The 26322-nt window shown below is 52.5% G+C and overlaps 1 protein-coding gene across 46 annotated transcripts in view, besides 9 other annotated features; it reads left to right on the top strand.

Annotated features, from left to right (window-relative positions):
* Positions 1–26322, top strand: part of KDM2B (lysine demethylase 2B) — a 173819-nt gene that overhangs the window by 47972 nt on the left and 99525 nt on the right. For 36 of the 46 annotated variants that reach the window (XM_047429682.1, XM_047429681.1, XM_011538867.4 and 33 more), the window contains 4 exons: positions 1349–1502; positions 13208–13323; positions 20906–21032; positions 24269–24741. In XM_047429682.1, the coding sequence (XP_047285638.1) occupies positions 1349–1502; positions 13208–13323; positions 20906–21032; positions 24269–24741 (870 nt within the window). Of the gene's footprint in view, positions 1–1348; positions 1503–3247; positions 3326–13207; positions 13324–20905; positions 21033–24268; positions 24742–26322 lie in introns of all 46 variants that reach the window. The other 10 variants (XR_007063140.1, XM_047429691.1, XM_047429689.1 and 7 more) reach the window with 1 other exon arrangement.
* Positions 168–838: an enhancer, noted in NCBI's record as "H3K4me1 hESC enhancer chr12:121971375-121972045 (GRCh37/hg19 assembly coordinates)". NCBI's record gives its function as "activates a minimal SCP1, AML or CMV promoter by ChIP-STARR-seq in primed H9 embryonic stem cells {active_cell/tissue: H9 hESC(primed)}" and the evidence as "EXISTENCE:reporter gene assay evidence [ECO:0000049][PMID:30033119]".
* Positions 4309–4810: an enhancer, noted in NCBI's record as "H3K4me1 hESC enhancer chr12:121967403-121967904 (GRCh37/hg19 assembly coordinates)". NCBI's record gives its function as "activates a minimal SCP1, AML or CMV promoter by ChIP-STARR-seq in naive H9 embryonic stem cells {active_cell/tissue: H9 hESC(naive)}" and the evidence as "EXISTENCE:reporter gene assay evidence [ECO:0000049][PMID:30033119]".
* Positions 10907–11096: an enhancer, noted in NCBI's record as "active region_7171". NCBI's record gives its function as "activates an Ori minimal core promoter by ATAC-STARR-seq in GM12878 lymphoblastoid cells {active_cell/tissue: GM12878}" and the evidence as "EXISTENCE:reporter gene assay evidence [ECO:0000049][PMID:35858748]".
* Positions 15165–15738: an enhancer, noted in NCBI's record as "H3K4me1 hESC enhancer chr12:121956373-121956946 (GRCh37/hg19 assembly coordinates)". NCBI's record gives its function as "activates a minimal SCP1, AML or CMV promoter by ChIP-STARR-seq in naive H9 embryonic stem cells {active_cell/tissue: H9 hESC(naive)}" and the evidence as "EXISTENCE:reporter gene assay evidence [ECO:0000049][PMID:30033119]".
* Positions 18016–18522: an enhancer, noted in NCBI's record as "H3K4me1 hESC enhancer chr12:121953589-121954095 (GRCh37/hg19 assembly coordinates)". NCBI's record gives its function as "activates a minimal SCP1, AML or CMV promoter by ChIP-STARR-seq in naive H9 embryonic stem cells {active_cell/tissue: H9 hESC(naive)}" and the evidence as "EXISTENCE:reporter gene assay evidence [ECO:0000049][PMID:30033119]".
* Positions 18523–19031: an enhancer, noted in NCBI's record as "H3K4me1 hESC enhancer chr12:121953080-121953588 (GRCh37/hg19 assembly coordinates)". NCBI's record gives its function as "activates a minimal SCP1, AML or CMV promoter by ChIP-STARR-seq in naive H9 embryonic stem cells {active_cell/tissue: H9 hESC(naive)}" and the evidence as "EXISTENCE:reporter gene assay evidence [ECO:0000049][PMID:30033119]".
* Positions 19524–19633: an enhancer, noted in NCBI's record as "active region_7170". NCBI's record gives its function as "activates an Ori minimal core promoter by ATAC-STARR-seq in GM12878 lymphoblastoid cells {active_cell/tissue: GM12878}" and the evidence as "EXISTENCE:reporter gene assay evidence [ECO:0000049][PMID:35858748]".
* Positions 19944–20013: an enhancer, noted in NCBI's record as "active region_7169". NCBI's record gives its function as "activates an Ori minimal core promoter by ATAC-STARR-seq in GM12878 lymphoblastoid cells {active_cell/tissue: GM12878}" and the evidence as "EXISTENCE:reporter gene assay evidence [ECO:0000049][PMID:35858748]".
* Positions 20231–20524: a silencer, noted in NCBI's record as "fragment chr12:121951587-121951880 (GRCh37/hg19 assembly coordinates)". NCBI's record gives its function as "represses an EF-1alpha promoter that drives an FKBP-Casp9 reporter gene in an ReSE screen in K562 erythroleukemia cells {active_cell/tissue: K562}" and the evidence as "EXISTENCE:reporter gene assay evidence [ECO:0000049][PMID:32094911]".

Here is a 26322-nt window from a genome sequence, read left to right as displayed (position 1 = left end):
GTGCAATCTCGGCTCACTGCAAGCTCTGCCTCCTGGGTTCATGCCATTCTCCTGCCTCAGCCTCCTGAGTAGCTGGGACTACAAGTGCCTGCTACCACGCCCTGCTAATTTTTTGTATTTTTAGTAGAGACGGGGTTTCACCGTGTTAGCCAGGATGGTCTCGATCTCCTGACCTCGTGATCCGCCCGCCTTGGCCTCCCAAAGTGCTGGGATTAGAGGCGTGAGCCACTGTGCCCGGCTTTTTTTTTAAAAAATTATTATTTTTTAAGAGATAGGGTCTTGCTCTGTCACCCAGGGTGGAGTGCAGTGGCGAAATCACAGCTCGCTGTAGCCTCCACCTCCTGGGCTCAAGCGATCTTCCCACCTCAGCTCTCGAGTAGCTGGGACTTGTTCTCAAAGTCCTGGGCTCACGTGATCCTCTCGTCTTGGTCTTCCAAAGTGCTGGGATTGTAGGCGTGGGCCATGGCTCCTGGCCCAGGGTCGCTTCTTTCCCTAGAACCACCTCCTCCTTCTGGAGGGCAAGGTCAAGTTCAGCCCTTTTACATCGCATCTAGTCACCCATGCAGGCCTGCTCCACTCACCCAGTCTGGTGTTCAAAGCTCCTTGGGCCAGATTTGAAGCTTGGGTTTGGCTCGAGAACGTCCAGCATTCATCTTCTCTGGCTGTCATCTCAGCTCCTGCCCTGGGACCTTTTTACTTTAAAGTCTAGTTGCCAGCACCACCTGCCTCTAGGAACATTTTGCACTGGGGACAGAATGCTAAGGGTGCTCCCTGTGTCTGCTTTTGTTGCGTGTCCACGTGGGGATGTGGGTGTCCCTGATGGAGGTGGGTGCTTCTTGAAAATAAGCCTGTGCCACCCTGCTTGGCTGGGTCTGCATGTGCGTTTGTTTTAACTGAACGTGTTGGAAGAAATTCTGGGAGGAAGTCAACCCACTTGATTCCAGATGTTTTTCCTCCTCCTCCAAAGTATGCACAAGCTGGGTTTATTTACTGGGCTATTTTATCTTACAACTTAGGAAATTCCCTTCCTCTCCTTCCCCCACCTCCTAGACAAGCCTGTGGTTCGGGAGAAAGCATGTCCCACCCAGTCCAGGAAGTACTCCCATCCTGGGATTTCAGCAGGAATGGAGGTTCCCTGAAGGTGGGCACAGCCCTTCCTGCCTCCCCAGAGGCTCTAGGGACCTGGCCTTGCAGAGAGTCCAGAGGGATGGATCTGCCATCTCTCCACACCCCCCACCCCACACACAGCTTGTCTCGCCCCCTCCCCTTCCGCCAGGCAGGTGGGGCCCTCTCTCTGGGTCTTGTCTGGGCCTGGGTCTCCAGCTGACTGCCTGTGTTTTCTCCCAAGATTTTTTGGCTGATTCCTCCAACGCTGCACAATTTGGCGCTGTACGAGGAGTGGGTGCTGTCAGGCAAACAGAGTGACATCTTTCTGGGAGACCGTGTGGAACGATGCCAAAGAATTGAGCTGAAGCAGGGCTACACATTTTTCATCCCTTCCGGTAGGTTTCCAGGGGCACTCTCTGGGCTCCTCGAGTCTCCTGCGGCCTGAGCCAGGGTTTTAGGCCCCCTGAGGGTTGCTCTGGGCCTGGTGGGTTTGACAGGCCATTGGCAGTCCCCGAGGGGAGCCAGCCGTGGGCTGGAGGGAAAAGCCGTGCAGTTTTCCCCTCACATCCCACCTGTATCTACCACCTACGGGCTGGAATTCTCTCTCCCTTGGAGAAGGCCTTGGGCCCTCTCAGGGGAGACTCGAATCCCTGTGCAGGACTTCCTGTGGAGATTGTGTGTTGGGTAATGGGGGTGGGTTTGCCCTGAGGCAGGGTCTGGGGAAGGGCTGTGCATGGCCTCAGGTGGAATTCTGGATCGACCACTTAGAGGCTGTGACTTCACTTCTTCGTGCCTCTATTCCCATCTGTAAAATAGGATTAAGATTTCCCCAGGGTGGTCATGAGGGCTGAGTGAGTTCAGATCTCCTTGCCTCCAGTTCACTGGAGATGGACTAAGGGCTTTTGGCTGGTTCCTGGCTCAGTCACTAGTAGATGTGGCTGATGACCTAGGGGTCAGGGAATTATCTCTTAGGTTGCATTAATGGAAGCATTCTACCTAGGATGAGAGAGGTGATAGTCCTGCTGTGTAGAGGGAGGGGGTCAGGCCACACATAGGAGTTGTGCTTTTTTTCTTTTTTTTTTGAGACAGTCTTGCTCTGTCACCCAGGCTAGGGTGCAGTGGCGTGATCTTGGCTCACTGCAACCTTCACCTCCCAGGTTCAAGCAGTTCTCATGTCAGCCTCCCAAGTCTCAGCCTCCCAAGTCTCAGCCTCCCAAGTAGCTGGGATTACAGACGTGCGCCAACATGCCCAGCTAATTTTTGTATTTTTAGTAGAGGTGGGGTTTTGCCATGTTGTCCCGGCTGGTCTCCAACTCCTGGCCTCAAGGGATTCTCCCTCCTTGGCCTCCCAAAGTGCTAGGATTACACATGTGAGCCACCGCACCTAGCCTGTAGGAAGGAGGTTTTGTTCCTCTTGGTCATTGTACTTTGGAGGTTAAATCAACCTGAAGTGGGGTGTGGGTGTGTCTGGAAACCACATCAGGTGAGATGTGTTTGAAGGAGGAATTGGGTTGCTTTACATGAGGAAGTGAAGGCATATGGTAACTGCAGTCAGCCAGGTGAAGGATTGTCTCCTGAAAGGAGTATAGCCGAGTGGTGTTGAAATAACTTGCTCTGTTAGGTAGTGAGCTCCCTGTCACTGGAGGCATACAAGTAGAAAGTAGATATGGATGACTCAAGGTGCTTGCAGACAATCTACAACTGGGTGGAAGCTTGGACCAGAGGATAGGAGTATCCTTTGAGGCCACCAAGATGTTTCTGAGAGTTGGGCTAGAAACTGGTCTTAGGTCTGGACATCAAGCACTAGTGGTGGTTGTAGTAGCAGTTCCTGCTATGGGGATGGGGCCTCCAACACCTGGGTGCTTCTAGAAAGTTGGGCAGAAACTGGAGACTTCCCTATTAGGGAGATTTGGCATTTGGAAGTAGCAGGGTTTAGTGCGGGGATGACTTTGTTACCATGGCCCCAGGTCTGTCCTCAGACCTGCTTGGCTCAGGGAAGGGACCGACCCCTGCTTGGGATGGAAGGGAACTGCACTTGGTGGTCAGCGTTTATAGGGGACACCCTGGCAGATGTGGAGTAGTGGAGACTCGGGAAGGAGGTGGCATCCTCCTTCTAAGCTGTGCTCAATCCACTCTGCAGGTGTTGCTGGATTGGCCCTGGATTCAAAGGATGACTGGAAGGCTCTTGGCCTTGCTGCTGACTCTGTGACGTTAGCTGGTCTCTTCCTCTCTCTGCACCTCAGCTCTCTCTACAATGGTGGTGGGGTGGAGCTGAACTCTGGGACCCTCAAGTTCCCTCCCAACCCCATCCTCTGAGCCTAACAGGCCTTAAGTCTCTCTGTCCAGGCCTTATGCAGAGCTGGGAGGTGGCTCATCACTTTTCCCCTGTGTGGGATGGTGTGGGTGTTGATGTTGGTGACTTAAGCAAGCTGGGGGAGGTCTTGAGAAGCCCTGGCAGCAGGGGTGTGGGCGTGGCTGTCTATTGAAGGCAGGAAGAGGAAATGTGCATTTGAGTTGCTGCAAGCAGGAGTCCAGTTAGGTCCTGGCAAAGACTTCTGGCCTGAAGGGTCATGCATTGAGATACCAGGATTTTTTCCCCTGGAGTTTTGGGAAGTAGAAAAGGGACAGTTGGAATTTGCCACCCTCTGAGATACAGGGGTGGGGTAGGGTGGGAGGGAGGGTGCAGCATAGTTCAGCGGTTCCCAGCCATTGATTTCATGGACCAGTGAAAAAAAACTTAGGAACAGATACAGAGTTGCCAACTTATAATTTTGCTAAAGATGGGTGTTAAGATCAACAAACCCCATGGTCTATTCTGACACTAAAAAAGTTACAAGTATAAAATGTCAGAATAAAGGATAGTACTTTAACTTTGATAGTTTTTCTCATTCTGTTTCCAACCAGTGAAAACTAAAGGACCAGAGACTGGGGTCCACTGACCTAGATTAGTATTTTTTTTTTTTTTTTTTTTTTGAGAGGGAGTCTTGCTCTGTTGCCCAGGCTGGAGTGCAGTGGCGCAATCTCGGCTCACTGCAAGCTCCGCCTCCCGGGTTCACACCATTCTCCTGCCTCAGCTTCCCGAATAGCTGGGACCACAGGCACCCGCCACCATGCCTGGCTAATTTTTTGTGTTTTTAGTAGAGACACGTTTTCACTGTGTTAGCCAGGATGGTCTTGATCTCCTGACCTCATGATCTGCCCACCTTGGCCTCCCAAAGTGCTGGGATTACAGGCGTGAGCCACTGCGCCTGCTCTTCTTTTTTTTTTTTTTTGAGACAGAGTCTTGCTCTGTCGCCAGGCTGGAGCATGGTGGTGCAATCTTGGCTCACTGCAACCTCCGCCTCCCGGGTTCAAGCGATTCTCCTGCCTCAGCCTCCCTAGTAGCTGAGATTACAGGTACACGCCACCATGCCCGGCTAATTTTTGTATTTTTAGTAGCAACGGGGTTTTGCCATGTTGTCCAGGCAGGTCTCGAACTCCTAGGGTCAAGTGATCCACCCGCCTCGGCCTCCCAAAATGCTGGGATTACAGACATGAGCCACCGCGCCCAGCCCCTAGATGAGTATTTTAGGTCCTCCCCAGGCCTGGGGATTCTCTCCAGCATTCACACCCTCTGAGCCACGTACAGACACACATCTGAGATTCGTGGTACTTGATTTGTGGCTTTGAGGAGAGAGTCTTGGGAAACCCAGAAAGGGTTTGCAGCTCCCTGGATGGGAGTTTTTCTGTATTGAAGCAGAGAATTGAATTCTGGCATTTCCCACCTCTGACCTGAGTTTTCATTGCCACAGTGTGACCTTAGGCACCTCTCCTCCTGCCACACTGACCTCACGCCTCCCAGTCCGTGGTTCATGGAGTCTTCAGTTCTCTGAAAGCTCATAGGATGCTGATGGTTTAGGAAGACTTTCATCATAAAGGGATGCTGGATTTTGTCAAATGCTTTTTCTGTGTCTATTCAGATGATCGTGTGATTTTTTAATTTTTAATTCTGTTTACGTGGTGTATCACATTTATCGACATGTGTATGTTAAACCATCCCTGGCATGAAACCCACTTGATCATGGAGGGATTATCTTGTTGATATGCTGTTGGATTTAGTTACTAGTATTTTGTTGAGGTTTTTTGCATCTATGTTAATCAGGGATATTGGTCTTTAGTTTCCTTTTTGTTATGTCCTTTCCTGGTTTGGGTATTAGGGTGATACTGGCTTCATAGAATGATTCAGAGAGGATTCTCTCTTTCCCTCTCTTTTGGAATAGTGTCAACAGGATTGGTACCAAGTCATCTTTGTTTTGTTTTGTTTTTTTGAGACAGAGTTTCACTCTTGTTACCCAAGCTGGAGTGCAGTGGCACGATCTCAGCTCACTGTAACCTCCGCCTCCCAAGTTCAAGCGATTCTCCAGCCTCAGCCTCCCAAGTAGCTGGGATTACAGGCATGTGCCGCCACGCCTGGCTAATTTTTGTATTTTTAGTAGAGATGGGGTTTCACCATGTTGCCCAGGCTGGTCTCAAACTCCTGACCTCAGGTGATCTGCTTGGCTTGCCAAGTCATCTTTGAATGTCTGATAGAATTCAGCTATGCATCCAAGGAAGACCTTATTTATTTATTTATTTATTTATTTATTATTTTTTCATTTTTTTGAGACAGAGTCTCACCCTGTTGCCTAGGCTGGAGTGCACTGGGCACCATCTCGACTCACTGCAACCTCCACCTCCCAAGTTTAAGCAATTCTCATGCCTCAGCCTCCTGAGTAGCTGGGATTACAAGCGTACGCTACCGGGCCCGGCTAACTTTTGTGTTTTTAGTGGAGACGGGGTTTTTCCATGTTGATCAACCTGGTCTCAAATTCCTGGCCTCAAGTGATCCTGCTGCCTCAGCCTCCCAAAGTGCTGGGATTACAGGCATAAGCCATAGCGCCCGGCTGCCAAGGAAGATTTTAAATGGTGCTATTCTTCAGGCTTTATTCCTAGGTAACCTAGGAGAGCTGCCTGGAAGAGGAAGACCGTTGAAGGTGACTGAGGAGTAGAATGACCTGGAGAAAGGGGTTTGAGCTTGCCCTGCCTAGCTGGCTATACCTTGATGAGGCAGGAGGTGAGAATACAGCGTCAGGGTCAGGACATCAAGGCCACAGTAAACAGTGCCTAGGGGTCACCAGGTGTTAGCCTTATAATTATCAGTAAGGAAAGCTGGAGGTGGAAGTCACCCCCGGGGAATAGGAGGTTGGAAACTTTAAGTACCTGGGGTGAACCAGGTGATGTCTTTTTCCTCCAACTCAACCTGGCCTATGGGAGCATACTGGCCACATTTGCAGGCTCGGCCTCCCCACTCTGGCTGTGCCAGCCTAGGTGAGCTATAGTTAACAGTTATAAGCAATGAACATTTACAAATTTTATTTTATTTTATTGAGTCAGGGTCTTACTTTGTTGCCCAGGCTGGAGTAGCATGGCTTGATCCAGTGAACATTTTATGTACATTATGTATCTTCTCTGCAAGCATTTATGGAAAAATGTAATATTCCCCACTTTTTTTTTTTTTTTTTTTTTTTTGAGACGGAGTCTCCCTCTGTCACCCAGTCTGGAGTGCAGTGGCGCGATCTCAGCTCACTGCAAGCTCTGCTTCCTGGGTTCACGCCATTCTCCTGTTTCAGCCTCCTGAGTAGCTGGGACTACAGGCGCCTGCCACCATGCCCGGCTAACTTTTTTTGTATTTTTAGTAGAGACGGGGTTTCACCGTGTTAGCCAGGATGGTCTCAATCTCCTGATCTGCCCGCCTTGGCCTCCCAAAGTGCTGGGATTACAGGTGTGAGCCACCGTGCCCGGCCTCCCCACCTTTTTTTAAACAATTTTTTTTTAGGCTGGGCACAGTGGCTCACGCCTGTAATCCCAGCACTTTGGGAGGCCAAGGCGGGCAGATCAGGAGATTGAGACCATCCTGGCTAACACGGTGAAACCCCGTCTCTACTAAAAATACAAAAAAAAAAAAATTATCTGGGCGTGGCGGCGGGTGCCTATGTAGTACCAGCTGCTCGGGAGGCTGAGGCCAGAGAATGGTGTGAACCCGGGAGGCAGAGCTTGCAGTGAGCAGAGATCACGTCACTGCACTCCAGCCTGGGCGACAGAGCGAGACTCCGTCTCAAAAAATATAAAAAAGAAATTTATTTAATTTTTCAGACAGAGCGTTGCTCTTGTTGCCAAGGCTGGAGTGCAATGGCATGATCTCGGCTCACTGCAACCTCCGCCTCCTGGGTTCAAGTGATTCTCCTGCCTCAGCCTCCTGAGTAGCTGGGATTACAAGTGTGCACCACCACGCCCAGCTAATTTTTGTAGTTTTAGTAGAGACGTGGTTTTACCATGTTGCCCAGGCTGGTCTTGAACTCCTGACCTCAGGTGATCGGCCCGCCTCGGCCTCCCCAAGTGCTGGGATTACAGGTGTGAGCCACTGTGCCCGGCTAAAAAAATTTTTAAATTTTGTTTTAGAGACATGGTCTTGCTCTTGTGCCCAGACTGGAGTGCAATGTTGTGATCACAGCTCATTGCAGTGTTGCCTTGACCTCCTGGGCTTAAACAATCGTCCTATCACAGCCTCTAGGGTAGCTGGGACTACAGGCATGTGACACCATTTTTTTTTAAACAAATAAAGAAAATACCTAAGGCCCAAGATCTCACAGTGACCAGGTCAGAGCAAGAACCCAGGTGTGCCTACTTTGAAAACACATATTCCTAAATATACCTACTTTGAACTCCAGTAGCTTGGGAGTCAGGAGACTTGGGATCTGGTCCTCCTTCTTGACTCTTGACTATGTGAGAACTATTTGCTCATTTAACAAACTTTCTTTTTTTTTTCCCCTGAGGCAGAGTCTTGCTCTGTCACCCAGGCTGGAGGGCAATGGCACAATATTGGCTCACTGCAACTTTTACCTCCTGGGTTCAAGTGATTCTCCTGCCTCAGCCTCCTGAGTAGCTGGGATTACAGGCGTGTGCCACCACACCCAGCTAATTTTTTCTATTTTTAGTAGAGACGGGGTTTCATCATGTTGGCCAGGCTGGTTTCAAACTCCTGACTTCAAGTGATCCGCCTGCCTTGGCCTCCCAAAGTGCTGGGATTACAGGTGTGAGCTACCAGTCTCGGCTTCATTTAACAAACTTTCTTAAGGGCCCACTTGGTGCCAGATGATGTGGGGGGCCTTGGAGGGGACATAAGACAGATCCCCTCCCTCCTGAGAGCAGCTTATCCAGCCAGGTGGCATCCAGGGTGGCAGAGGCCAGTATGGGGACCTTATTTGTCATATAAGTGGGGATGGCAGTGCCTGGGGAAGACCCAGGGATCTGTGACTTGGGCTGGCCTAAAGTTATTTCCCATCCTTGCATTCTAGAAAGAACCACTGAAGACCCAAATATCATGGTAGCCCCAGGTATTTCTTACACTCCAGCAAGTCTGAGAAGAAATTCCTTAATGGTGTCACGTGGTTGGGCCTCAGACGATCCATCTATCAAATGGGTCTAAAGCAGGGAAGGGGACTGGATGGGTTGGGGCCGTGGGAAACTGGGCAGTACCTGCTCAGCCAGTCCAGCTAGGGCCAGGTGGGAATCCAGACCTTCCTATTTTTCTAGGTGGAAGGCAGCATTTCAGATTGTCACATGGAATGTACTGGCGTGGCACGGTGGCTCACGCCTGTAATCCCAGCACTTAGCACTTTGGGAGGCTGAGGTGGGCGGATCACCTGAGGCTGGGAGTTAGAGACCGGCTTGGCCAACATGGTAAAACCTCATCTCTAGTAAAAATTTGTGTGCCTGTGATTCCAGCTACTCAGGAGGCTGAGGCAGGAGAATGGCTTGAACCTGGGAGGTGGAGGTTGCAGTGAGCCGAGATGGCACCACTGCACTCCAGCCTGGGTGACACAGTAAGGCTCTGTCTCAAAAAAACAAAAACCCAACAAAACAACAACAAAAGAAATATCCCCATTTTTAAACATGGGGTGGCGTGAAGTAATTGGCCCCTGGTCCCAACTATGAGGTCCTTGAAGGGAGAGTATCCTTACTTCATGTCAGCAGCCACAGGTTCGTTCCTGATCCTGGCCCGGCGCAGGGAGTTCACTGATGTCGGTGAAAGAAGCCAGGGTCCGGTTGGGTTGTGGGCGTCTGTGAGGTGTCCCTTGCCCAGTTCTGAGACCTCTAGGTTTATTCCTGCTAAAGCCACAGAGGTGGAGGCAGATGTGGGTGGGGCCTTTGGATTCCGAGTCCTGAGCAGACGCTCAGGTTGTGGGTGAGCCCCACCTGCCCCTGCTGCCCTTCTTGGGCCCCCTGAGGTCCCAGAGAATGTGCTGCTTTGTGTATCACTGGCTTCCCATCTATGACTGCATCTGTCCCTGGTCGCTTGGCCTGAATAGCCTCTGTTTATTGCCTTCATATTGTCGATGACTCTGGCTGGAAGCAGGAGGCAGATGCCAGCGTTCCCAGCCCAGGCAGCAGCCTGGGAGCACCGGCTCTCATGCTTCCTGGGCTGTCGAGAGGCCATCGGAGGAGGGGTATGGATGGGGCCCACAAACGCTGTTATTTCCACACCTCCTTCTTACTGAGGGAGGCATGTGGGTAATGAAGCAGATGTGAGCAGAGCTGGGGGAGGGACGCAGTGGCGGCTAATCCAGGGGTGGCTGCCTGACCCACCCTTGAGGCCCTGGCTGCGAAGGGGAGTGGGTAAAAGCTTCTAGAATCCCTCGAGTGTCTGGGCGTGCAGATCCCCTGCCCCCTCCTCGCAGCAGCAGCTCTCCTCTGTGTTCCTCTTTCCTCACGTGTCAGGGCAACAGATGTAAGTCAGGTGCGTTGGCCTCTGCACCTGCCAGGAGAACAGGGAGAGTCCAGGGCTGGGAAAGATGGATGCATGTGGGCACCATCCTCTACCAGAGCCCTTGTGATCGACAGAGACAACCACAGATACCAATGCCAATTGCTTATATGGATTCAGGACTTGCTCACCAAGTTCCCCAGAAGGGAGGGGAGTGGAGGGGACAGGATGGAACCCTAGCCCCTGGACTTGGGCTTTCTGCAGGGAGGGAGGTAGGCTTGTGGGGCCATATAAGATGCACCTGCCTGTGCATCACATGACCCGGTGGTCCCGGGTCCCAATCTTAGGAAATGTTGCTAGGATAACGGGGATGGCGACAATAACAGCATTCAATAGCATGGTTCCACTTGGTGGAAACATGGAAATGTTGAGGTCAGCCTGCAGGCAGCAGAGGCAGGAGACTGAAGCGGATGTGGAGACAGAGGCTCTTTCAGGGCGGCAGCCATGCTTCTGTGCAGAGGAGGGTGAAGGTCGTGGGATGGGAAGCTGGGGAGCTCGACGGCCGCTTGCAACCGCACAGAGCAGCTGTCTTTCATGGCTCACGCCAGAGACCCGGGGAGCCAGGCACAGAACGAGGTTGCCTAAAGCAAAGCCCTCGTGCCTGTACCCGGCAGCACTGGGCTTCTGGTGATGAGCTTTCCCTTGCTCTCCCCTGAGGATGGCCAGCTCTGTTCCATGCGTTGCCCTGGTGGGAAGGGACAGCGGCTGAGTGTCCACTGCGGATGCCAGCAGTGGCCCCGCAGTCTGTGCTGTCTTCCAGGCAGGAGCGTTGCTCCCAGCAGTGGTGACCACCCATGACTCAGGGCTGGCGTGTTTCATTGGGGGACAGACTGGAACCGCTCGGGCTTGGGGGGCAGAGGCAGTCGCTGTAATTTTCCTCAGAGCAAAAGAATAAAGTGCATGGCTGGGAGAGGAGGGGACAGCGGCCTCCAGGGCCAGGCCCTTCAAGGTGCAGGGTCTTGGGGCACCGCCACCCTTCCCTCTGCTGCACCATTCCCCCAGCCAACCCTCCTCTGTCCTTCACTGTGAGTTGCTCCGCCTCTGTCCGCCCTTGTCCTTATTTCTCTCTGCGTTTCTCCTTTTGCCTCCCCTCTGTATTTCCCAGCCTTTCCCCCGGGACTTGCAGTCCTGTGCAGAACCTTTGATGCAGCGGCAGCTGTGCAGCGTGCTGGCTAAAAACGGAGCCGCTGTCGCTTGCCAGCTGTGACTCATTCAGCAAGTGGCTTCCCCCTTTGTGCCCTCAGTTTCAGCATCTGTGAATTGGGGTTGATTCTCCTCCTGCCCATCTCCTAGCCCCACGCTGTGTGACCCGGCAGCCAGGAGCCACACACATGTCACCTGAGCACTTGCAGTATGGCCACTGTGAATTGCAGTGCAGTAGCTGTGTGTCCCAGTGAATGAGGGGCTTTCTCCCAGCCTTCATGGACCATGCAGAGCCCGACTTCCCGGGCTCAAAATCCTGATAGGTGACTTCATTTTTCTGTGCCTCACTTTCCTCATCCATAATTTTTGTTGTTGTTTTTGGCTCTGTCTCCCAGGCTGGAGTGCAGTGGTGCGATCTTGGCTCACTGCAACCTCCACCTCCGGGGTTCAAGCAATTCTCATGCCTCCGCCTCCCAAGTAGCTGGGACTACAGGCATGTGCCACCAAGCCTGGCTAATTTTTGTATTTTTAGTGGAGACGGGGTTTCGCCATATTGACCAGGCTGGTCTCAAACTCCTGACTTCAGGTGATCCTCCCGCCTCGGTCTTCCAAAGTGCTGGGATTATAGGCATGAGCCACCGTGCCTGGCCCTCATCTGTAAATTGAGGTTGAATATAGTATATACTTTTTTTTTTTTTTTTGAGACGGAGTTTCACTCTTGTTGCCCAGGCTGGAGTGCAATGGTGCGATCTCGGCTCACTGCAACCTCACCTTCCGGGTTCAAGCGATTCCCCTGCCTCAGCCTCCTGAGTAGCTGGGATTACAGGCATGCACCAACACGCCTGGCTAATTTTGTATTTTTAATAGAGACAGGGTTTCTCCATGTTGGTCAGGCTGGTCTCGAACTCCCGACCTCAGGTGATCCGCCCACCTCGGCCTCCCAAAGTGCTGGGATTACAGGCGTGAGCCACCATGCCCGGCCATGAATATAGTATATACTTTTTCGGGATTTCATGAGAATTAATGAGTTAAGGCCTGAAAAGCCCTTAGACCACTGTGCCTGGCACAAGGTGGGCCCTCTATTATCGTTTCTTCTTTTTTTTTCTTTTTGAGATGGTTATCTCTGTTACCCAGGCTGGAGTGCAGGGGTGTGATCACAGTTCACTGAAGCTTCAACCTCTGGAGCTCAAGTGATCCTCCCACCTCAGCCTCCTGAGTAGCTGGGACCGCAGGTGTGCACCACCATGCCCTGCTATTTATTTAATTTTTTTTAGAGATGAGGTATTACTATATTGTCCAGGCTGATCTCAAACTGCTGAGCTCAAGCGATCTTCCCGCCTCAGCCTCCCAAAGTGCTGGGATCACAGAGGTGCACCACTACACCTGGCCCTGCCTCCGTTTCCCTTGTGATGGTGACTGTGTCTGGCTCCAGGCTAGGAGTTTGGAGAGATGAAAAACTGCGGCTCCCAGCTGTGAGAAGCTGCAGGAGAGACTTACCAGCAGCCTGTGGGGCAGAGTGGAGGGCAGAGCTGAGGGGGGCATGCAGGCGTTGTGTGACCAAGGAGACCACATGGAAAGGGGCCTGGGTGGAGTTTGATGACAAGAAGATGGACTTGGGCGGAGGAAAGTGCTTGGGTCCTGCAGCTCTGGCAAGACGTCACTCCTGCGTCATGGTTCCCAGCCATCCTTTGTGACCCCTCTGGGATGGTGAGGAAAGACTCTGGACACATGTGCCACCTGGGAGGGGAGGTGAGGCTCCGTGGCCTGCATGGAGGTGGAGAAAGGGCCTGCCTCTCTGCTGGCCATTGCAGCCAGGTCCCCAGAGGAAGCTTTTGTCATCACGGTCCTCAAGAAGTGGGGGCTGATCTGCAGCTTCCCAGCTCCTGACTTGAGCCAGACAGTGGCTGCTCGAGGCTGCAAGTCTGAGTCCTCTCGGCGGCTCAGGCCTGGGCGTTGTGCAGCAGGCATTGCTGGGCGCCGCTGCCCCAGGCCCTGGCTGCTCTTCTCCACTCCCTGCACCCTCCTGCACGCTCGCTCTCCCTCCCTGCAGCCTTGTGAGGTGTGGGAGCCCACAGGGGCCAGCGGCTCATCCTCTCCTTGCCCTTCCCACCCCAGGTTGGATCCATGCCGTCTACACCCCTGTAGACTCTTTGGTGTTCGGCGGAAACATCCTGCACAGCTTTAACGTGCCCATGCAGCTGCGGATCTACGAGATCGAGGACAGGACGCGGGTAAGGAGGTTCCCTTCTGTCCTCGCGTGCGCGCCTGGCCCCTGAGCTCTGCCGGTGCTCGGTGTGTGGGACAGGTCATACTGAAGTCCTCCACAGTTCCCCTCTCCCTCCCGATTCCTCTCTCAAGCTGGCTTCAGTCCTGGTTCTGTGGCGGGGGAGGGGGGGCAGGGGAATGCCTGTAGGAGCCACACCCGGAGGCCCTGGAGTTTCTGTTCACCTCCAGGTTGGGGGCAGCCAAAACCCCCTTGTGGAAGAGGAAGTGTCTCTGAGAAAGCACCGTGAGATTTCAGGGACCTGCCTCTTCCTCCTCACGTGGAGAAAGTGGTGTGAGGGATTAGGGGGATTTGGTCGCTGTTGTTTGGAGGATGGGTGTGGACCTTGGAAGGGCCTGTCCTGGTCTGAGGTCAGGTCTTGGCTATATGTTCTCCCAGGGACCCCAGATCTGACTGGGGAGGAAGCCTGAGGAAGCCAGTGCCTGAGTCCCCCTGGGTACTGTCTCTGAGGTAGTCTCCATGTCTGCTGAGGACGTCTCTAGTTTCCTGGGGCCGAGGCTTTTCTCTGCCCTTGACAGGGACGGTGCTAGTTTCCCAGACGTCAAGTTTCCCTCACTCACCCCATGTCCTACGAACATGGGCGGAGGCTTAGGTAACTGATGTGTGTCCTTCGCTCCACAAGTGTCCCCTGAAAAGGACAAGTGGCCTGAACTTGCCATGGCCTTTCTCGTGCTAGGACTTGATCACGTGTCCCTAGGCACATAAGACAGGTCCCAAACTGGGTCAAAACTGAAGACTTGGGGCCGGGCGCGGTGGCTCTTGCCTGTAATCCCAGCACTTTGGGAGGCCGAGGTGGGTGGATCACTTGAGGTCAGGAGTTCGAGACCAGCCAGGCCAACATGATGAAACCCTGTCTTTACCAAAAATACAAAAAAGCTGGGCGTGGTGGTGTACGCCTGTAGTCCCAGCTACTTGAGAGGCTGTGGTGGGAGGGTCGTTTGAGCCCGGGAGGCGGAGGTTGCAGTGAACCGAGATCACGCCACTGCACTCCATCCTGGGCGACAGAGCCGGACCTGTCTCATACTAAAAAACAAAGAAACAAACAAAACCCAGAGACTTGGGGTAAAAAAGTCCCATTTCTTGTTCTACTTGTTCCTGTTTTTTCAACACAGCTATTCAAATATTCATTTTCTTTTAAATTGAGATATAATTCATATACCCTAAAATTTACCATTCAAAGTATACAATTCAGTGGTTTTAGTATCTTTATAAGATTGTGTCATGATCACCACTAATTCCAGAACATTTTCATCACCCCAAAAAGAAACCTTGTACCCACAAGCAGTCACTTCCTGTGTCTCCCCACCTTTCCCCTGGCTAGCCCTAATCTATTTTCTATCTCTGTGGATTTGCCTATTCTGGACATTTGATGTAAATGGAGTCATTCAACATGTGGCCTTTTGTGTCTGGTTTCTTTCATGTAGCATAATGATTTCCAGGTTCATCCACATTGTAGCATGTGCCAGAGCTTCATTCCTTTTCATGGCTGAATAATATTCCATTCTGTAGCCAGACCACACCATTTCTTCTTGGGATTTGCTTCTGAGATGGCTTTTTGCCCCAGTGAGGTGTTGCTCTGCATAGATCTAAGGAGAGGTCTCACAAGGGCACCTGCTCTGTACCAAGCCCCTGTCTCTCCTGGTCTTGTTTTCAGGCCTTGGTTTGCACAAAATCACATACATGAGCAAAGTATTAGCTGCTGCCTTTGTATCTGAACATTGAACAGTCCCGGCATTGTGGGCCCATGTCTGGGGGTTTCCTGGAGACCACCTGGAGTTGAGTTCAGTGGTCAGATGTTGTGAGGCATGTGTACCTCTGCAGATTGACACGTGACGCCTAGATCTGGAGAGACCTGGGTCTGGGCTGGGGCTCCATGGGAGACCATCGTTTTGTGGACTTTTTCCCCTCACCTCTCTGTGGCCCACCATCCCCATCCCACCTGGGGAAGGCCAGCCCCCACCCTGGTCTGGAGGAGCCGCCCCATGCCATTCAGGAGAAAGGCACTGTTTGGATACAAGCGGTCACCTCACAGTCTGGGTCAATGCTGTCTGGGGCTCCGGCCAACTGTTCTTTGGCCTGTCCTGGAGTACAGGCCAGTTTGTGCACGAGCAGACGTGTGGAATAGAGATGGAGAAATCTAGTGGAAGTCAGGCCCACGACTTTCCAGGCAATTCCTGAAAGCCGGAGTCAGGCTGGGATTTCTAAAGGCTGTGGCTACTTGCTGGACAACCACCCCGTCCCCCTGGGAATTCAATTGTAAACTCAGCGGATTTGGGCCCCATGGTTCCCTTAGGAGCCCAGGTCCCTTCCCCCACCCATGACGACTGGCAGGGTGCTGGCCGGACCCCTGAGCATCACACTGAGCTTACGTGGAATATCACGTCCTCGTTGAGAATGGCAGGTCCCCTCCCCCACCGGGGCCTACTGTCCCTTCCCCTGAGTGGGCACCCCATCTGGTTTCACCGAAGCAGGCTGGCAGCGGGGGCTTGGGGGCAGACTGGGCTGGGAGCAGCGGCAGGTTGTTTAATCTGCCTTGATTTCTGGTCTTGAGAGAGGGACTTGGCTACGAGGCCCAATTGTTTATGCCTTAGGAGCCAAGGCAGACAAAAGGCACTGGGGAGAGAATTCTGGAACCAGATAAGATGCCAGGGCTCTTTGTTAGCTCACTACAGCTTCATTCTTTACAGCCCTGAGAGCTTTCTTAAGAAGGTTATGGCCATTTAAAAATACTGTTTTATAGGCTGGGCATGGTGACTCACGCCTGTAATCCCAGCACTTTGGGAGGCCAAGGCGGGCGGATGATCTGAGGTCAGGGGTTCGAGACCAGCCTGACCAACATGGTGAAACCCTGTCTCTACTAAAAATACAAAAATTAGCCGAGCATGGTGGTGTGTGCCTGTAATCCCAGCTACTCAGGAGGCTGAGGCAGGAGAATTGCTTGAACCCGGGAGGCAAAGGTTGCAGTGAGCTGAGATCGCACCACTGCACTCCAGCCTGGGCAACAAGAGCGAAACTCCATCCCCCCCCTCAAAAAAAGTGTTTTAAGAGTCCTAAAACATGGCTTTGCCTGGAAACCAAATGCAGGAGGTGGGACAGAGGGAACCATCGGTCAGTCTCCAAGCTCCATGGTGTGGCTTTGTCTTAGAAAAAGAATTTGCCTGGCCAGGCGCCGGTGGCTGACGCCTATAATCCCAGCACTTTGGGAGGCCAAGGCAGGCGGATGATCTGAGGTCAGGAGTTCGAGACCAGCCTGGCCAACATGGTGAAACCCCATCTCTACTAAAAAAATACAAAAATTAGCCAGGCATGGTGGTTCATGCCTGTAGTCCCAGCTAATCGGGAGGTTGAGGCAGGAGGATTGCTTGAACCCAGTAGGCAGAGGTTACAGTGTGCTTAGATTGAGCCACTGCACTCCAGCCTGGGCGACAGAGCGAGACTCCATCTCAAAAAAAAAAAAAAGAAAAGAAAAAGAATTTGCCTTTGTGGCCCAAGGTGGGGACCCCTATCTAAACTAGGGAACCCCAGGGTTCCCTAGGAAGCTGTGTCTTACCTTCACCATTTAAATTTTTCTGGCGAGATGATAGGTGACCCCATCCTGCAATGTCACTGCCCATGAGGTGGCACGAACATATACAGGTGTTTGGGGAATGGTGGATTTCCATTCCCCAACCCTTGTAGATGAAATCTCCCCTTCCCCTCATCCTGAAGCTATGAAGAGTGATGGAAGAGTGACAGCAACGAGTGGATATGTTGTGCATTTGATACTTAAGACAACATCTCGATCATCACTACATTCTTTTAACTTCAGTTAGGTTGATAGGGAATAGGTATGGTCCAAATGATCATTAAATTGCCATCTCTCTTATATTTATCTTTTATTTATCTTTCCCCCCCTCCCAGTGGCTCTAGTGAAAGCAGCCTTCCCAGAAAAGGTAATGCCGACATGCCCCATTCCCTTACAGCCACTGAATCTATTTGGAAATTGCAAATAATTTACCTTCCCTCTCCCCTTCCCCCTACCATTGGACTTTTTTTTTTTTCCATTGATTTTTTTTTTTTTTTTTCCAGGAGAAAAACAAATTGTAGGACACTTCCACCCACTCTCACATTTTGACTTTTTCAAGTCCTTGAGACCTGGGAGTTCTAGATACACTCGAGAAACCTTTTGTTGTCATCTCCTGAGGTCACTCAGCTTGAAGATGACTTGGACCTCCGAGGAAGGGCTGAGGCCAGGTGCCGCTGAGTGGGCCCTGAGGTCCTCTGGTAGACGGATGACCTGCAGGCTGGGAGCATTGCATGCCTTGTGACTGCCTTGCCTTTTGTTTTGGACTGACGTTGGTTAACTCAATTTGGTGAGGCTCCGAGTCTGTCAACAAATAATGTTGAGCAACCGTATGTTTAATGTCCCCAGGCATGTGGCTGAAACCTTTTGAAGGCGAAGGGTGGAAGGCGACAACCTGTTTGTAAGTCAATTCTTTGCAAATTTTTGTTTCCCGCAGTCCTCTCTTGGAAAAAAAAATAAATAAATAAATAAAAATTTGAATTCCTTCATCAGCATTTGTTTTCACCCAGCTGGTTTCCATTGGGTTCAGCAACAAAGAAGGGAGACTTATCTTTCCCTCCTGAAGTGCAGCCCCCTCAATTTTTTTCCCCTAATTTAGAAAGATTCCCAGGTGGTCATGGTGTCCGAGCAGAATGGCTCGGAAGGTGTCAAAAAGATTTGAAAAGTCAAAACCGACTTCAGAGTTTTACCAATCAAGTCTCATGTCAGGAAATGTGGATGAGGTCTGTCCGTCCTCAGCTTGCTTTTTAAGTACTGGTAATTCGTTCCAAAATCTTTTGTCCGTTTCTCTTGAATAGAGGTGGGGCTGAGGTCCCCTAAACCCTTCTTCATAGGAAATCAAGGTTTGCTTCATGCCTAGGAGCCCCTCTTTTTTAAACTCCAGAGGGCACCGATCTAGTAACTATGAGAAAAGATGACTCTTCTCCCAGCACTGAAACTGGGGTTCTCAGGAAAGGAGCTGGAGCCAAGGAAACCGCTAGATGATGGTCCCCACTCCGTGCATCCCCCAGGGGGCTGAAGAGCATGTGGTGGCCATGATCCCATTCCAAAGCATTCCATCCATCAGAGGCAGGCAGAGCCCAGCACCCAGTGTGCAGGCGGAGAGAGGAGGCCCAGCAGTGGGAGGAGGCCTTGAGGCCAGGAGCTGAGTGAGAGCCAGGACTCTCAGAGACGCTGGGTTTGGGCCTTTTCCAGACGGGCACTTTGAGAAATGCAGCAAAATAGCATTTTAGGGCAAAAGGAGAACGGAGGTCTGCTTCTAGTTGTCTTTGTCCCAGATGGGGAATGTCACCTGTTTATTGTCAGCAGAGAGCAGGGCAGTGGAGGTGGGCAAGTGTGATTCGGGGAGGGTGGGAGAGTGTGATTAGGGGGTGGCAGAGTGTGGTTGGGGGTGGCGAGTGTGATTAGAGGGGGTGGCGAGTGCGATTTGGAGGTGGGGAGTGTGATCAGGGGGGTGGGGAGTGTGATTAGGGGGATGAGGAGTGTAATTAGAGGGGGTGGGGAGTGTGATTAGGGGGATGGGGAGTGTGATCAGGGGATGGGGAGTGTGATTGGGGGATGGGGAGTATGATTGGGGGCGGGGAGTATGATTGGGGGCGGGGAGTGTGATTGGGGGATGGGGAGTGTGATTGGGGGATGGGGAGTGTGATTAGGGGATGGGGAGTGTGATTAGGGGAGTGGGGAGTGTGATTAGGGGGTGGGGAGTGTGATTAGGGGGATGGGGAGTGTGATCAGGGGATGGGGAGTGTGATTGGGGGATGGGAAGTGTGATTGGGGGACGGGGAGTGTGATTAGAGGGGGTGGGGAGTGTGATTGGGGGTGGGGAGTGTGATTAGAGGGGGTGGGGAGTGTGATTGGGGGTGGGGAGTGTGATTGGGGGTGGGGAGTGTGATTAGAGGGGGATGGGGAGTGTAATTAGAGGGGGATAGGGAGTGTGATTAGAGGGGGTGGGGAGTGTGATTAGAGGGGGATGGGGAGTGTAATTAGAGGGGGATAGGGAGTGTGATTAGGGGGTGGGGAGTGTGATTAGGGGGTGGGGGGGTGTGAATAGGAGGGTGGAGAGTGTGAATAGGAGGGTGGGGAGTGTGATGGGGGGATGGGGAGTGTGAATGGGGGGATGGGTGAGTGCGATTAGGGGAGTGAAGATATTAGGGGCAGGGGAGTGTGATTAGAAGGTGGGAGAATGTAATTGTTCACCATCCAACTCCCTGAGTTCGCATAGGATCAGGGAGGGGAGGAGGGCTTTCTCGTCCCCGCAGACACCCTCTTGGCAAGAGAGCCAGGGAGCAAGGTGTGAGTGTGGGCATGTGAGACCATCGTGTGGCCTCTGCAGGAGAGGCCCCGTGTGGGTGTCAGGGACCTCTTTCCATCCTTGTGTTGGGTCCATCAGTGGCGTTGTTTCCTTCCCATCTTTCGGTGACATCTCATCTGTACAGACCCTGAACTGCCCCCCGTGGAATCTCCCGGGGCTCAGGCCTTTTGACAGTTCTAGTACACAAAGCTGTCTCCACCTTTACTTCCTCTTCTATGATAAACAGCCAACCAGCAACATGGCAAACCCCATCTCTACAAAAAATACAAAAAAACCCAGCCAGGCGTGGTGGTGCGCGCGCCAGTAGTCCCAGCTACTCACAGGGCTGAGGCAGGAGGGTCGCTTGAGCCCAGGAGGTCGAGGCTGAGTGAGCTATGATCGTGCCACTGCACTCCAGCCTGGGTGACAGAGGTGGGACAAAAGGGATCTCCTGCTCCAGACCCGAGATGTGTCTCCCTCAGCTCAGCATCACGCTGGTCTCAGGTCATACCTGGGACCTCTGTCAGAGGGAGCCCTTGTGGCCTTGCAGGCTGGGCAGTGCCAGACGGGTGTGGGGAGGAGCAGGAGATGGACCCCTTCAAGGCCCCACCCCTGGAGGTAGGCGAGGCCACACCCCCTCACTCTTATTGGTCCGCTGGCCTGGCCTCCCTCCCAACAAACAGGAGGAGGCTCCATAACCTGTCTGCAAATAGATAAGGCTTGGAAGTTGATTTCTGGTTTTCAAGCAGGAGGGAGGAACAGCAGAATCTGTGCAGGAATTTTCAGAAACAAGGAGGAACCTATGTCTGTTGTAGCTAGAATCAGGCAGCGGCTCCCACCTGCAGGTGCCCACACTCTCTGCAGGCAGGTCAGGGGAGAATTCTGTTTTTCTGCATCTCACGGGAGCATCAAGTGGCCCCCATCCAACCTCTGGGGCGTGCAGCTCAGGGACCTTTGAGATGAGGCGCTCATGCGGGCCTCGTCCTCCGCCTCATTTGTGCATGCTGCCGGCATCTCCCTTCCAGCACCCCACCATTTCTCCCCCGACCATCCATGCTCTCGCTAAGATGATGACAGTGACCCTCACCTGCAGGGAGCCTGCCCCGCACTTCTCTCCCTCCTTCCCCCTTCGCCCTCTGGAAACTGACCTCTGCCTGCCTGCGTCTTTGCTTTCAGGTGCAGCCCAAATTCCGTTACCCCTTCTACTATGAGATGTGCTGGTATGTCCTGGAGAGATACGTGTACTGTGTGACCCAGCGCTCCCACCTCACTCAGGAATACCAGAGGGAGTCGATGCTTATTGGTGAGTGAACCGGAGGGAGCCCACGGCCTCGGCTGCACAGCTGGGGCAGAAATCATTTTCTCAGTGGGGCCTGGAGACACTCCCTGAGTTTTGGGGATTCGTTGAATCAGTGTATTGGGCAGAATCCTAGGAACCCCTCAGGGGAAGCCATTCTTGCCAGTTTCCCACCTGGAATACAGAGTCCAAGAAAATGAATTCGGATCCCCAAAAGAGTCACGTGTGTGGCCTCCAGCCCATGGCTGTGTAGATGCAGGTTGGGGCCGCCCCGGGCTTGGCTGCTAAAACGGGATCACCCCACAGAGCAGAGAATCCTCGTTCTTTTGGCTCTTCCGTGGACACCAGCTGATTTTTCCTCCTGCACTGGAGGTTGGGTTTTTATCTATGTAAGAGCAGTCCTGTGAGATGCAGCCAGTCTCTGAAAACTCAAGGCTGTCTTTGAGGCAGCAGGAGGGGTGACCAGGGCAGGTGGTGCGGGCCTGGAGGAGCAGGAGAGAGTGTTTGGAGCCGCTGCAGCGCCCAGCCCTGCTGCCAGTACTTAAAGGGACATCATCCCCCCCGAACACGGCTCTGCCCTTGAATCTTGACTCACAGACGCCCGCCCTGAAGTTGGATCTGGCTGTGACTGCAAGCCCCGACCAGCAATCTAGAGGAAGAACGTGATTCCTCTCGGCTGCGTCTGAGCTGTTGTGGTGCAGGGGTTTTCCTGGATGATGTAGAGTCTGCAGCATCTCAGACACTGCATCTTTTTTTTTTTAACCAGGGGATAGAAAGATGAGACTGGTCTGTCTCCTTGAGGGTCTGCACAATTTTTCCTGCAGCCTCTAGGATTTTTAGATTCTTTTTTTATTTCCCCTTTACAGTAAGCCTCTTCCATCCCTTCCCTTATGCCCCATCCTTAATGACGTTCAGGGTTTCCAGGCTGGGCGTATGATGGGGAACCAGTGTTTCTGCTGGGGCCTTCACTGGGAAGTCTTTGCCTGTGAGGTCTGTCGCGAGCCTCATTCCCGCCTGATGATGTGATATTCAGGGGGTTGGAAAGTCCCGAAACCCTACAACCTGCCCTTCTGGAGCTCCCAGCCTGGTAGGAGAGAAGGGAAATGATCCTGAAATAGCGTGAGAGCCGCTATGATCACAGTAACTCCACGATCCCCCGGAGACAGAGGCTGGGGAGAGTGAGAGGCTTTCTGAGTGTCTGCAGTCCCCAGGCCAGAAGGCCGAGGGTTGGTTCTTTCACTTGGACATTTAGGGCAGAAGAATAATATTCCATTCGCAGGCACAGGAGGAAATCTCGAGGTGGTGCTTGGGTAATCAGTACCCACATCTTCCTTACGTTTTCCTGCCACTGTTTTCCCTCTGGCTCTCCCAGTCCATCTGCCAATGAGAAGGGGCAACGTGAGGGAGACACCCCCTCCATCCAGAGCTGCTGTGTGCCAGTGCCTGTGCCCAGGGATACCTGTGTACTCCGCACCACGGCTTTCTGAGGGTGTTTCCTTTGCCTTATATTTTTTAAGCAGCCCTATTAGGATATAGTTCCCATATCACACAATTCACCATTTAGGGTGTAGAATCCAGTGGTTTTTAGTCTATTCACAGATACATGCAGCCACTGCTGCAGTCAATTTCACATTTTCATCACCGCAAAAAGAAACCCGGGGCCGGGCACAGTGGCTCATGCCTGTAATCCTAGCACCACCGGGCGCGATGGCTCACGCCTGTAATCCCAGCACTTTGGGAGGCTGAGGCGTGTGGATCACTTGAGGTCAGGAGTTCGAGATCAGCCTGGCCAACATGGTGACACCTCGTCTCTACTAAAAATATGAAATTAGTTCAGTGTGGTGGCACATGCCTGTAATCCCAGGTACTCGGGAGGCTGAGGCAGGAGACTCGCTTGAACCTGGGAGGCGGAGGTTGCGGTGTGCCGAGATCGCGCCATTGCACTCCAGTCTGGCCAACAAAGTGAGACTCTGTCTCAAAAAAAAAAAAAAAAAAAAAAATTCCTAGCATTTTGGGAGGCCGAGGCGGGTGGATCCCTGACGTTAGGAGTTCGAGACCAACCTGACCAACAAGGTAAAACCCTGTCTCTACTAAAAAACACAAAAATTAGCTGGGTGTGGTGGTTCACCTGTAATCTCAGCTACTCGGGAGGCTGAGGCAGGAGAATCCCTTGAACCCAGGAGATGGAGGTTGCAGTGAGCTGAGATCACTCCAATGCACTCCAGCCTGGGTGACAGAGCGAGACTCTGTCTCAAAAAAAAAAAGAGAAAAGACAAAAGAAAAGAAAGAAACTCATACCCTTCAGCTGTTGTCTCATCTCCCTACCCTGCCCTTTCCCCAGCCCTAGGCAACTACTCATCTACTTTCTGTCCCTATAGATGTCCCCTGCCTGGGACATTTCACTGAGTTGAATCATATAATAGATGCTCTCTTAGACTTATTTTTATTTTATTTTAGTATTATTATTATTATTATTATTATTATTTTTTGAGACAGGGCCTTGCTCTGTTGCCCAGGTTGGAGTGCAGTGGTGCATTCATGGCTTACTGCAGCCTCCACCTCCCAGGCTCAAGTGATCCTCCCATCTCAGCCTCCCAAGTAGCTGGGACTACAGGTGCACATCATCACACCCAGCTAATTTGTGTATTTTTTGTAGAGATGGGGTTTCACTGTGTTTCTCAGTCTGGTCTCAAACTCCTGGGCTCAAGCAATCCACTCGCCTAGGCCCCTCAAAGTGTAGGGATTATAGGCGTGAGCCACTGCACCCAGCCTCGACTTATTTTTAGACATTAAAAAGTAAAGTGCCAGATACCAGCCTGGGCAATATAACGAGACCTCATCTCTACAAAAAAAGCTTAAAAAAAAAACTAGCTGAGTGTGGTGGGCGCACCAGCAGGAGGATCACTTGAACCCGGGAGGCGGAGGTTGCAGCGAGCTGAGATTGTGCCACTACAGTCCAGCCTCGGCAACTGAGCAAGACTGTCTTTATATAAATAAATAAAGTGCCAGTGTTCAGAGAGGCGGGGCAACCCATGTGGGTGCACACAGCCGGGAAGCAGCAGGGTGGGGATCTGAACCTGCGTCCCCCACGGCCTTTCCAGAGGCTGGAGGCACTGACCATTAGGATTGTTAGAGAAGCTGGATCTCTGGAGTAAAGGGGACTTTTGGTGAGTGGAGGTTCCAAAGACCTTGGCAGGGAGTTAGGTGTCATCTCGGTCTTTCTTGTGACCCTGCCCCCACAGATGCCCCGAGGAAGCCCAGCATAGACGGCTTCTCTTCGGATTCCTGGCTGGAGATGGAGGAGGAGGCCTGTGATCAGCAGCCTCAGGAGGAGGAGGAGAAGGACGAGGAGGGCGAGGGCAGGGACAGGGCACCCAAACCGCCCACCGATGGCTCCACTTCACCCACCAGCACGCCCTCTGAGGACCAGGAGGCCCTCGGGAAGAAGCCCAAAGCACCTGCCCTGCGATTCCTCAAAAGGACTTTGTCTAATGAGTCGGAGGAAAGTGTGAAGTCCACCACATTGGCCGTAGACTACCCCAAGACCCCCACCGGCTCTCCCGCCACGGAGGTCTCTGCCAAATGGACCCATCTCACTGAGTTTGAACTGAAGGGCCTGAAAGCTCTGGTGGAGAAACTGGAATCCCTCCCGGAGAACAAGAAGTGTGTCCCCGAGGGCATCGAGGACCCCCAGGCACTCCTGGAGGGTGTGAAGGTGGGCAGGAGTGGCGTCTGGGGCTGGGCGGCCGAGGAGGGCCGGGCAGGTCCCGTTCAGTGTGACACGTGCAGCTCAGCTCACGATGGCTCTGTGCAGATTGCTCTGAGCATTCGGGTGGGCGCTGCGAGGGGGCTTCTGGGGTCTCAGTCCACAAAAGCCTATGTAGGGTGTCCAAGCAGAGGCCATCATTAAGAGCTGCAGAGGGTGGGTGGGGTGGCTCACACCTGTAATCCTAACACTGGGAGGCTGAGGTGGGCAGATCACTTGAAGTCATGAGTTCAAGACCAGCCTGGCTAACATGGTGAAACCCCGTCTCTACTAAAAAAAAAAAAGGAAAATTAGCCATGCCTGGTGGCGTATGCCTGTAGTCCCAGCTACTTGGGAGGCTGAGGCAGAAGAATTGCTCGAACCTGGGAGGTGGAGGTTGCAGTGAGCTGAGATCGCACCACTGCACTCCAGCCTGGGCAACAGAGCAAGACTCTGTCTCAAAAAAACAAAAGAGCTGTAGAGGACCCCCTTTTGGAACCTCACTCTGTGGCTGACGAGTTTTCTTCTCAGCACTTATTGGAAACCTGAGTCCCCACCAGCAGGTGTGACATGTGCAGCAGTTGCTGTCACTGGCCTCGAGAGACGAACCCCTCCAGCCTTGTCAGGAAGCCTCGCTGTCCTGGGCCAGCATGTTGGAGCACGAATCAGTTTCACATGAGCAGGTTGTACATCCCCACAGTCCTTGACACGGCCAGCTGATGCGGGCACTATGTAGCTGCGTGCAGTTTGGAAGTCTTCATTATGACCTGCATTTAATGGATGAGGAAGTAGGCTCAGAGAGGGTACGGGGCATGCCTGAGGTCACACAGTAAGTGGATGGTGGAGCTGGGATGAGGACCCGGGGGTGACTGCAGAGCTTCTGTGTGTCTACCGCTGTGTGGAACTGCCTCTTGTCTCAGCATTAGTAAGGCTTTTTGGTTGAGGCCTCCGAGGCGTCTGGGTGTCCTTCTCCAATGTCTGATGCCCAAGGGAAGCCAGCTAGCTGCCTCCTGGGGTTGGAAACTGAATTTAAGTTTCTTCTTCGGTGGCTGTAAAGTACTCAGGATTGGTAGTTCATTTGTTCATTGTATTTACTTAGGAAACCTTGTGTTGGGCCTGGGATAAAGATATATTAAGATTCACTGGGTGCGGGCCAGGCACGGTGGCTCAGGCCTTAATCCCAGCACTTTGGGAAGCTGAGGCAGATGGATCATTTGAGGCCAGGAGTTTGAGCCCAGCCTGGCCAACATAGGGAGACCCCATCTCTACAAAAAATAAAAAATTTAGCCAGGCATAGTGGCCTGTGCCTGTAGTCCCAGCTACTCTGGAGGCTGAGGAGAGAGGATTGCTTGACCCCAGAAGGTCACTGCTATAGGGAGCCATGGTCTCGCCACTGCACTCTAGCCTGGGCAACAGAGCAAGACCCTGCCTGAAAAAAAACCCAAAACAACCATACTAATCTGAAGAAGAAATGTCTTTCCATGCTTTTGGAAAGTCTTTTTTACTTTATTTTTTTACCGTTGAGACAGACAGGGTGTTACTCTGTTGCAC

This window comes from Homo sapiens, chromosome 12 (genome assembly GCF_000001405.40).
Source record: "Homo sapiens chromosome 12, GRCh38.p14 Primary Assembly".
Classification (NCBI taxonomy): domain Eukaryota; kingdom Metazoa; phylum Chordata; class Mammalia; order Primates; family Hominidae; genus Homo; species Homo sapiens.
This window is presented reverse-complemented; position numbering and strand designations above follow the sequence as displayed.